The sequence below is a fragment of the Homo sapiens genome, chromosome 5, assembly GCF_000001405.40.
Source record: "Homo sapiens chromosome 5, GRCh38.p14 Primary Assembly".
In the NCBI taxonomy this organism is placed as follows: Eukaryota; Metazoa; Chordata; class Mammalia; order Primates; family Hominidae; genus Homo; species Homo sapiens.
Window position 1 is genome coordinate 135929726 of NC_000005.10, and position 12271 is coordinate 135941996.

The 12271-nt window shown below is 39.3% G+C and overlaps 1 pseudogene across 2 annotated transcripts; it reads left to right on the plus strand.

Moving 5' to 3' along the window:
- Nucleotides 1–571: 571 nt before the first annotated feature.
- FBXL21P (F-box and leucine rich repeat protein 21, pseudogene) lies at nucleotides 572–12271 on the plus strand (annotated as a pseudogene). Of its 2 annotated transcripts, none has more exons than NR_152421.1 (6): nucleotides 572–755; nucleotides 4626–4724; nucleotides 5595–5714; nucleotides 6869–7235; nucleotides 7700–7822; nucleotides 10764–12271. The product of NR_152421.1 is annotated as an F-box and leucine rich repeat protein 21, pseudogene, transcript variant 3 (transcript). The 2 variants fall into 2 exon arrangements; NR_152420.1 differs by having other exon boundaries at nucleotides 4630–4724.

Sequence of the window (12271 nt, forward strand, 5' to 3'; positions counted from 1 at the left end):
GCCGGACACGGTGGCTCATGCCTGTAATCCCAGCACTTTGGGAGGCCAAGGCAGGCGGATCACCTGAGGTCAGGAGTTTGAGACCAGCCTGACCAACATAGAGAAACCCAGTCTCTACTAGAAATACAAAATTAGCCAGACATGGTGGTGCATGCCTGTAATCCCAGCTATTTGGGAGGCTGAGGCAGGAGAATCGCTTGAGCCCAGGAGGCAGAGGTTGCAGTGAGCCAATATTGCGCCATTGCACTCCAGCCTGGGCAACAAGAACGAAACCCCATTGCATTTGTGCATTGATAAAGGGGCGCCCTTCATCGGGAGTAAGTCCCAGAAACCACAAGCGTTGGCTCATGCCTGTGTGGAGTCACAGGCAGGTGGCCACGGGGAATTAGCTGAAGACCAGCAGGCAGGAAGCCTCCCACATGCCACCTAAGGGGCGCTCCCGGAACCGCCGCCCCTGCGGGAGGAGCGGCTGGGGTCTCAGATCGCCGTGCGTGACTTGGTGCTGCGCCAGGTGGGCGCCATCGCCGCGGCCTGCTGGGGGAGGCGGCCTTTGAGGAGCGGGCGCGAGGCGGGGCCAGGCGGGGCGGGGCCTTGGGCGGCTGCGGTCTGCGCGGACCCCCGTGCCTAGGCGCTCCTGTGCCTCCAGTGCGCGGAGCCGGCCTCGCTCGGGCGTGTTCCTGCGCCGACCGGACGGCCGGACTCCAGCACCTTGGCCCGGCCCGCGAACGCTGAGCACGCGCGGAAACCCTTTAAAGGTAGCACATTTTTCGGGTGTCGCGGGGGCACCGCCGGCGGTGGCGACGTGGGGCGGAATGGGCTCGCTCTTTGGGCCCGGGAGGCGTGCGCTCGCGCCCTGGGCCACGTCGGGGCGGTCTCGGGCGGCTGAGCGCCCCCTGGAGCGACCCCTCCCGCGGCCCGGGCCCGGCCGCCCCCGAAGCCGGGGTGAGCGGGGCCTGGCTCGGGCCGCCAGTGAGGACTCGCAGCCCCCGGGCGTCCGCTTTCTCGCTGGGCTGGGTTTCTGCAGTGCCGGGCGCCCACCCGGCCACCCCATGAGCCGCGCGTCTGGCTCTTCGGTGGAGTGAGCCTAGAAAGGGCGGCGTTCGTCCAGTGATCAGTGCTACCCGAGGTTGCTTTTTGCATGACTGCTTGCAGTTAAGTTCACCGGAGTTTATAGTTGCCACAAATGTCAAAAAGTAGCCTTCTGGCGAGCTGAAAGCGCTCACCTGTGCGCTTTAAGGTGTACCGTCTTTGTCTTTGGCGAGTGTGCCTTTTAAGACGCTTCCAAGATAAATTGAATAAGAAATGATGATTGTTTTCTCCCAGAAAAATCTTGCAGAAATGATTTCTGGAAACACCTGTGTTCGTTGTTAGCCCCCTTAGAATGCCCATCCGGAGGCGGGCTCTCCCTGGCTCGGAAGGCCTCCCCGCGGAGGGCCTGGCTTGCTGTCCGCTCGCTTTTCGCTTCCAGAGTCGGAGAGACGCGACTTTGGGGTCGATGTGGAGAGAGAAACAGATGCCCTAGGCGCCCCCCATTCAGGGATTTTCACAAACTGCCCAGTTCAGCTTTGTCCCTTGCGTCTCCAAAGGTGTTTTCAATCTACATATATTTGGAAAACTTCAGTTTTCATATGATTTATTTAAAAATAAGCATACATATTATGTTTATTAGGAAGTAAAAATTTTCTTTTTAAGTAGATATGTCCTAGTACCACAGAGAGACTTGAGTGTAGAAAATTGCTAAACCAGTGACAAAATGCCAGAACACTGCAAAGATGGCAACCACTGCTTTAGGAAATATTTGACATAAATATTTTTCATGTTTTGTCTCCTTAATATCTCGGTGATATTTTTATTTGATTTGATATTTTAAAAAGAATTGTAACTTTTAGACTTAGAAGGGAACTTAGAGTCTTATGGGCTGCAAAGTACATAAATCTGTTTGACAACGTCTCCAACAAATTATGTTTTGTCCTTTGCTTGGATTATATTTAGTAGAAAGAGGTGTTGCTCCATTCTTTTGTTGGAAAACTGTGTGTTTTTACGTGTTTTGGAGCGCGAGGCTTCAGCCCTCCTGTCCAGGCCATGCTTCCCCTGCCCTTGCACTGGTGAGTAGGATTCCAGGCTCCTTAACACGGACCGTCTGCCTGGGGCAACAATCTGATTGCTTATCATGAAACTTTAGGAAGGAGATTAAATAAAGGACATTTAATAATTATTTCCCTTTACTTTTGCTGCTCCCAACAAATTTGTCCACCCTTTTCAGATAATTTTGCATCTATGTTCTGTTATCTGTGGTATTCACCTATTATTTCTATTGTTGTGATCACTGAAAACTTGAAACTGTTGAAAGTCACTTCTGGGTATTCATTTCACCAATCTGGAAGAACCTAGTGATGGTGCAGAAGAGAGCTGCTTCCATGGCCTTTAGTGAGTTGGCTGTGGATGTTCAGACAGTCTTCATCTCATCTTCTTTGATAATCTTGCCCTCAAGAATACTGTGGCAATCTCTTAGATACTTCTAGAGGATCCCATTCACGTAGTCACCTGATCTACCAAATTAGAAAACACATCAAAAAAGGCATTTGAGTTAAGGTGGTTAGTGGAGCTCCTCAATGCTAATAAACTTGTTTCATACTCTGGAATTGTGCTGAAGATCCGTGTCCAGCTTGCTCTTTTCTCCCTTTTTGGAAGAATGGCTTATCACTTGATGGAGTCCTGTATTCTGGTTTTGTTCCCTACCTGTCCTCAAAATTCTCGTGACTATGAGAGCCATCATGTTCCTTCAGCAACCAGGGAAGTAATTCATCTGATTCGGAAGACTTCAGTGAACTGATCTGAGATAGGTAGTGGTGCACCATCTTCTTACTGGTCTTGGGTAGCAACTCCCTATTGATATGTCAGTATTATGTCAGTATTCTCACATGAAGAATGGCCTATTGGCACAGAAATTAGCCATAAGTGTAACTCAGGAGAAAAGTTTCTGCAGTAAATAAAATTGTGTGTCATCTGATTTGAGTTAACTAGTAACTCGACTTGTCTTTTATTTTTGGTGTTTCACTGAAAGTGTGCCCTGGAGTTCCTTTCCCTCTACATCTGGAATAAAGGAAGGACAGCCAACCGTGACATTATCTGGAAAACAGTGTAACAGCTGGTGGCAGTGAGGAAATCAAATGGTAGATCGTGAGCTCAAATACATTCCCCTAGCCTGTCCTCCCCAGTTCTGCTTTAGGAGTTGGATTCAGAGAGAAATGGAAAATTAACAGGGGGTAGACAGTAGAGGTTTAAGGGAACTGTTTAGTAAATTAATAGGTTGCCATGTTTAACTCCTCTGTGTAGTTGAGTTTGGTTTACAAAAGTAGTAGAATGTATTTATTTATGTTTACCTTACGACATTTATTCATGATGCCAAGGGTGTGAGTTTTATCCTGCTGTAGACCTATATTACTATTTTCTTCAGTTTCCATAGACTTTCCTGCTAGCTCTGACAAGTCATTTTCCTGAAATTTGGCAAACCTCAAAGAGTATGACTGAATCAATGCCATCTCTATCAATATATATGAAATGATTTTTAAATATGAAGCATATATTCTATTAACAGCAGACTAGTCCAACTATATTCATATGGGAATGATAAAATAATAAAAATCACTCATGTCTGCCTCTTTACTATAACTGTGGTGGTATTATGTGCTACTAAAATCTGGAACTGGAAGATTTACACAGCCTGTAAACAGATAATTGTAGTCATGAATTCCCTCACATTTTTTGTAGTATCTCTCTATAGACATTAATTAAAATACAGATTCTCAGAGTCCATTCACTCTTTGATCCATAGCCTTGGTAAAGCCTCAAGAATAATTCCTGGGAATCATAACAAGATTTCCACTAACCATGCTAATTTTTTGGAATTTGTTTTGTTTTTGTTTTGTTTTACTTTGTTTTGTTTTTGTTTTTAAGACAGGGTCTCACTCTGTTGCCCAGACTGGAGTGCAGTGGTGTGATCTCAGCTCACCGCAACCGCTGCCTTCCTGCCTCAGCCTCCCAAGTAGCTGGGATTACAGGCATGCGCCACTAACACTCAGCTAATTTTTGTATTTTTGTATTTTAAAAAATTTTAAAAAGTTTTTTTAATTTTAGAAATGGGGTTTCACCATGTTGGCCAGGCTGGTCTTGAACTCCTGACCTCAAATGGTGCACCTGCCTCGGCCTCGCAAAGTGTTGGGATTACAGATGTGAGCCACCACGCCCGGCAGGGCTAGGTTTTTTTGCGTGGTTTTTTTTTTTTTTTCTTTGATACGGAGTCTCGCTCTGTCACCCAGGCTGGCGTGCAGTGGTGCAATCTCTGCTCACTGCAAGCTCCGCCTCCCGGGTTCACTCCATTCTCCTGCCTCAGCCTCCCAAGTAGCTGGGACTACAGGCACCCGCCGCTATGCCTGGCTAATTTTTGTATTTTTAGTAGAGACAAGGTTTCATCAATGAACAACAACAAAAAATAGTTTCAGAATCAATAATTTCTAACAAAATCCTTCAATATATAGAGTGATATATAAAGAGCCTAAGCATAGAAATTATTGAATGTTTATTTATGTATTCTGATGAATGTGTTTTTGTGGTATTTCACCAAGATAGGAAGTGAAATCAAATGGAGGTTGGTGAGTACCCCACGGCAACCATTGCTTCGTTTCATGGTTCAGAGTGAACTCTAATCTGGAAGCCTTCCTTAGGTAAGAAAAGCTTGAAAAAGAAATGATCGACTTTTTAAATGGTCACATATCTTTAAGCTAGAATGTTTAGATTAACGTTTTCAAGCTAATAAAGATCAATTTGTCTAAAATATATTTTACAATGTACATAGCTATAAAATCATATGAAGTGTTTGATTTGTGGATGAGCATAATCTTTATGCTCGGAAGATTACACAACTTAAAAAAAATTAAAATATTATTTTTAACAAGTTACTGGTATTAATATAATACCTTAAATTACTTATTGCAATTCTACTATCAGTGAATTGGCAATTTAATGATATCATTAAATAATTTTAACAATCCATGCCACATACAATGAGATTTAATATATAGCACAGTCCCTCTGTTAAGGACTGCAAGGTAGTTTTCTAACCTGGCATTTGAGTGATGTCTTTGTTTTATGTTAGCATCACTGGTTTTCAAGTAAAGGATTCTATTAAGGGTAACTTCTTTATAAAAACTTAGTGAAAATTTATCCATTTTGTTGATTTCCAAATGAAACGGTTGCAAGCAAAATGTCAATGACTGTGCTCCACATCAGAGTTTAGAATCCAGCATCTGTTCTTGTACCTTACAGCATTAAGGAGTTAGCATTGAAGAGTAGTAGATCGGGCCTTTTAAAATAGCACATGCTTTGAATTCTTGGTAGTCAGCAGTTTCACATAGTCTACGTAGTACTGCTGGACAGGGCCTAAGTCATGCATGTAACTGGTTTAGTCAGACTGAAATGTGTGTAGTAGCTCTTTTGCCTGATGCTTGAGATGCAGCTTTGTAACTATTTTTGCTTTTCATTTCAATTTTCCAAACCCTAAAGATGATTTTTCATTTTGTTCAATGACTTTATAGGTCATTCCTGCTTCTGGGATCCAACTCTATGTTGTGCTTAAGAAATGTGTCACATCAGACAGAGTGAATCACAAGACAGAGATATTTACCTATCACATAAATATTTTATTAGATTTCAAGGTATGTTTCAATTATGACACTGAATCTTTCATGTGTACATTCCTAACATTGCAGGGGTTAAAGGAGGGTTATATAGTTAACCAAAGTTCAATAAAGTTCAGAACCACTCTTACCATTATTTTGCCTTTCAAATAATTGTATACTTAAAATACTTTGTATTCTTACATAAAATATACGTACAAGATGACCATATATACTTGGACGTATCTGGACTTCAAATTTGCTGGAACTTAATTGCGTCCCAAGCTGGCTAATACCTAGAGATTCATCATTTCTGTTTGGAGGGTAAGAATGCTCATTCCCTGTCTGCTTTACTGGAGAGGATCAGGTGTGTTGCTTGAACTAAGACTTTGTCCCTGCCATATCTAACTTCTCTGAGCTCCTGTGTCCTGGCTGTCGTCTGAAAATTGTTGCAGATCATTTGAGTTTTTGTTAGAATTGTGCTTTGACTTAAGTAATGAAAACAGTTCAGAAAACTGCACTGGACAATTTAATATAGCAACACAGACTGCAACTAAACTATCTGCTGGCACTTTAATACTCACAATGATCATATAGGTACTTTTCTTGTTGGAGATGAGGAAACTGAGGCTTAGAGTAATTTGTTCTGACAAGATCATATGGTTAGTAAGTAGCAGAGTAGGGACTTATCTAGACCTATGCTTTTAATTGTGTTTTACTATCTCCCAGACCTCCCATGTTTTTTTTTTTTTTTAAGGACAATCGCAATGTGATACTTCCTTCTTTGAAAGAGATAAAATACAATAATTGACTAGGAAAAAAAAAACTTGGGACATACACTGCTTCCTTGGACATTTCCTCCTGGAAGCCTCCCAAGCCACCTCTTCCACACACAAACTCAATCACATGCATCCTCTTTTCCTTCTGTTGAAACTTGTCCCAACTTTGGTCATAGCATTTATCACTGTATTTCACCATTTTACCATAGCTCTTTGAGAACAGGTTTGTACTTATTTATCTCTGTATCCCCAGCATGAGGTAGCACCTATCCATGCATGAAAGTGGAAGATACCTACTAAAATTGTATTAAACAATTTTTCATTTTCTAATGTTATTCTGTACAGTTAGAGTGCCAATATTTGGTGGAAATGTGAAAAAACTATCAGAAACTGAACATTTTCTAATGTTTACAGAATGAAGAGGAACAGTTTATCTGTTGAGAATAAAATTGTCCAGTTGTCAGGAGCAGCGAAACAGCCAAAAGTTGGGTTCTACTCTTCTCTCAACCAGACTCATACACACACGGTTCTTCTAGACTGGGGGAGTTTGCCTCACCATGTAGTATTACAAATTTTTCAGTAACTTCCTTTACTAGATCGGGCCTGTGCATCTTCTGTATGTAGGAGGTGGAATGAAGTTTTTCATATTTCTGACCTTTGGAGAAAGTTTGAATTTGAACTGAACCAGTCAGCTACTTCATCTTTTAAGTCCACTCATCCTGATCTCATTCAGCAGATCATTAAAAAGCATTTTGCTCATCTTCAGTATGTCAGCTTTAAGGTAAGAAAAATAAGCATTAAATGGAAACCATGACTTACATTTCGTTAACAATGCTTTTGTATATCTAGAGCCTTATTTTGAGGCAGTCAGTGAATTTTGCAAATCATTTTATCCAAAGAGGTTTCCTGTTTTTCTGCAGTTATTTGCATCGATTGAAGTGTAGAACTTGAACCGTAATTGAAAAACTTAAAATGCAGTTTCCATCATTTGTATGCTGTTATTAAAATTCAGGTAATTGTAAAAGATTTGAAAATATGAACTGCTTGGAAAGCTAATTTGTCATCATCTCTGTTTTTCGTTTTATCATCTCAGACATTTTGTATGAAGAAAAAATACTCATTTATATGATAGCTCAAAGGAATGAATAAAATTTTGCAACTGAATTCTACTAAATAATTACATTGCCAGTATTTCTGATAAATTATCTTCAGGAAATTATTCGAGATTAAAAATTGTCTGTCTAGGTTGACAGTAGCGCTGAGTCAGCAGAAGCTGCCTGTGATATACTCTCTCAGCTGGTAAATTGTTCCATCCAGACCTTGGGCTTGATTTCAACAGCCAAGCCAAGTTTCATGAATGTGTCGGAGGTAAGGATATTATGCGTTTTTGGTGAGCTATACTAAAATCCCTAAAGACTGCCAAACTAGGCAAAAGCCATTTTTTTCCTAAAGACAGACCATCTCCTATTTGTATTCAAAGTATTATTTAAAGCTGTTTTCTGTTGACTAGCACTTATTTTTGCAAAAATAGTTTATGCATGTTTTCATTCTTTAGATATATTTTGTAACTGTAGTCATGGTTACCACAGTGTCATTAATATAAAATTTGGATATTGTGCTTATTCTACTTAAATAACAATTTATGTAGTTACTTTGAACATAGAGCATGTAGAGGCAATAGTGGGTGTTTTTCCTGTGATTCTGTGGCCTGTCTTTTGGAGGTGGAACAATATAATATTTAACTAAATGAACTACGCTTGTTAGCATGATGTTTACATTCATGCAGTAGAAACTCCAAAACAAAAGTGGTTTAAAAACATGATCAAAGTATATTTCTCTCACATTAAAGAAATTGATAGGTGAGACAGTCCATAGCTGGTATGAAGGTGGTAGGAACCTAGGTTTCTTCCAGCCACTCCACTCTCTCCAGGGTGTTTCTTCAAGATGACCATCTGAGCTCTGACCATCACATCCTTGCTCTGGGGGCTAGGATGTTAGAAATGGGGGAAGAAGGGTGTGCCTTCTCCTTATCAAGGAGACTACCCGTAAGTACCACACAGTGTTTCTGTTTACCTCTAAGTCTGGCCACACCAGATTCCAGGGAGTCTGGGGAATCTTTGAGCTGGGTGGCAGTGTGCCCAGCTAAAAATTGGGACTGGATTAACAAACAAAGGAAAAATGGTTGCCAGCAAGCAGCCAGCCACGCTCTGCCATAGAAACTCATACCGTATTCTCCTCATTCAGGCTTCAACCTGAATGCCATCTCCTTGGAGAGCCCCCCCTTAACCATTGTGAAAATGGCACCTCCTGCTCCAGTAATAATGTACTCTACCATTACATTATTTTTATCTTCTTCATGTCATTCATCAGTACTTGAAACCACCTTATTTATTTAATGTGTTTATTCTCTTCTCCTTATACCAAACATAAACTCATTGAAGGCAGAGATTCTATTTTGTTTACCATTATAAACCCAGAGTCAGAATAGTACCTGATATATGATAGGCATTAAATTATGGTAGTTGGTAAAGCTGGCTAATGGAAATTTTCCTATGGAGGAGGATAGAGGAATAGCAGCCTCTCTCTTATAAACTGAGTCATGGCACTCTTCTAGCAAGTATTTTTGCTGGCCTGTTTATCTTCTAAAGGGATGTGCTGAAAAAAAATGGGTCATTTAGGGATTAGAGTAATGTAAGTAATCTGATGAAATTTACCACTTCTAGTTATTTCCTTGTTTATGAACTACAGAATCCGATTACCCTGAAATTCTTCTTATATTCTAAAAGCTGTCTCTAATGTTGCACATCAGCTTCCAGGGCCAGCTTCTAGGTTAGCTGATGCAGTCACCAGAGCTAGATACCAGGAATTAATTAGCAAGCTTCATTTCAAGCTCTGCCTCTACTGTTTAAAGTAATCTCTGTGGCTTCTGGCAAGACCACAGATCTCTCTGAGACTCAGTTTTTTTAATCTGTTAACTAAGGAAAAATAAAAGTATAGCATTTTGCTAAGCATAAATAGTACTAAACTAATATGTTGCTATTATAATGAAATATGTACTCTAATGTTTTTTAAAGTCGTCCTTCAGGACTAAAGCAGTCAGTTGACAATTGATTAAAGGGAAACTAAACCTTGTATTTATATTCCCCTAATAATTTTGGCACCATAAAATTTACAGAAGAAGTTTAGCCTTGTACCATTTGAAAATATGTGCAAACCGGTTTACAATTAGTATAAATCAATATGTTTTCTTATAAATTAATGAACATTTATAACCAATTTGGTCATTCTGTTAGGCATAATAGAACCTTTGGTAGAATCCAAATTGATTGATTTTAAAAAGGGAAAAGTGATCATGTACAGATTTGGTTTCCAGACTTTCTATCTTTGCCAAAAAATACTGAATCTGAAAATTTCTGAAATTCTACTCATTTTCAGATCAAACTAGAAGTAAGCTTTAGTCTGTCAGTCTTCAAAGCATATACGACTTGGATTTACTTTGGATAATTGGCTAGGAAAAGCATGTCACTGAAGATTGTGAAATCTTATAAAATGAATTAAAACCTCATTTATTCATTCAACAAATTTTTATCATCCATTTGCCGTGCTATGTGCCAGATACTATTTTAGGTGCTAGAGATACGGGAGTGGATAAATCAGATAAAAATTCTGTTTCTTCTAGGGCAGGGGTCAAAAATACTCAGATAGCAAATATTTCAGGCTTTGGGGGCCAAGTAGTTACGCTGTGACTACTCAACTCTAACACTGGAGTCTGAAAGCAGACACAGACAATATTTAAATAAAGGGCATGGCTGTGTTCCCATCAGACTGTATTTAGGGACACTGAAATTCAAGTTTATTTCATGTCATAAAATATTATTCTTTAAAAAATTTTTCCAACCATTTAAAAATACAAAAGGCATTCTTAGTGAGCCATACAGAAGCAGACCATGGGCTGGATTTGGCAAGTTGTCTGTAATCTACCAACCCCTGTTCTAGGAAATAAATATACAATAATCATGTCCTTCTAATATTGAAAACCAAATCCTTAATTGAAGTAATTGGAAGACATGTTTTATGAAATCTTTGAAGCTTTTTTTTCTCACTATTTCATTTATCAATTATAAAAAGTATAAAACTATACTTCATTATAAAAATATCTTCTACTAGAAAATGATTCTGTGGAAACAGCCGTATGTTCATGGTTCTTACTATGTTATCATTAGCATGTATTGATATAGTTTTAATGAATTACTTAAAGCTGTACATTTTAAAATAATGTTTTCATAATTTTTTCTTATTGCCATGCAAGTCTCATTTTGTGTCAGCACTTACAGTTGTTTTTATCAACTCAAAATCATTATCATCAATCAAAATTGAAGATACACCAGTGGATGATCCTTCATTGAAGATTCTTGTGGCCAATAATAGTGACACTCTAAGACTCCCAAAGATGAGTAGCTGTCCTCATGTTTCATCTGATGATGGGTTACATTTTTTAAAGCTAGAATGATATGATATTTTTATTACAATAACTATAAAGATGCAATTTCCTTTTGAAAATTATATACCTATGAAGCATAAATTATTTAAGTTTTTTCAAAAGATTTCTTAATCTGCAAGGTAGGTATAGTTATAGTAAGTTTCTCCTGAGATATTTTAATTTTACATATATACATATGCTTTTCATTATATACATAATACCTCCTGGCAGCCATGCTCTCAGAAGTTGTTATTAGATAGCTATTTTCACAAATAATGAATAATTAATATTAAATTTAAATTTACAAAATATTATATTAGGATCAGTATGATTCTTTGTTCTTGAGAATTTTTCCCAACTTCCCACAGGAATTCTTTGTGTAGCTGACCGTTGTCAAGGCCTTAGAGAACTGGCGTTGAATTATTACATCCTAACTGATGAACTTTTCCTTGCACTCTCAAGCGAGACTCATGTTAACCTTGAACATCTTCGAATTGATGTTGTGAGTGAAAATCCTGGACAGATTAAATTTCATGCTGTTAAAAAACACAGTTGGGATGCACTTATTAAACATTCCCCTAGAGTTAATGTTGTTATGCACTTCTTTCTATATGAAGAGGAATTCGAGACGTTCTTCAAAGAAGAAACCCCTGTTACTCACCTTTATTTTGGTCGTTCAGTCAGCAAAGTGGTTTTAGGACGGGTAGGTCTCAACTGTCCTCGACTGATTGAGTTAGTGGTGTGTGCTAATGATCTTCAGCCTCTTGATAATGAACTTATTTGTATTGCTGAACACTGTACAAACCTAACAGCCTTGGGCCTCAGCAAATGTGAAGTTAGCTGCAGTGCCTTCATCAGGTTTGTAAGACTGTGTGAGAGAAGGTTAACACAGCTCTCTGTAATGGAGGAAGTTTTGATCCCTGATGAGGATTATAGCCTAGATGAAATTCACACTGAAGTCTCCAAATACCTGGGAAGAGTATGGTTCCCTGATGTGATGCCTCTCTGGTAATGGGCTGCCAAAGATTCTGAAATTGTTGTTGTTGTTTTTTTAATCAGTATGATTAGCTGCTTTCTATCTAAGCAAATGTAAATTTTAAAATGTGTTGCTGCTGTATTTTAGGTCAAATATTTGATTGTTTGCAAACTGTCGTGATGGATTGCTGCAGAAACATTTGGAAAAAAATAAGAAATTTGAAAAGCAAGAAATTGCTGTAAATAGGGCACAAGCCCTGTATATGGATTAGATGGTCGATATGCCAAAAACTACAGATGGTTTCTAAGTAGATTTCTCACCTTTCCTTGGAGGCATATTGTAGCTTGCTAAGTAAGTGTGT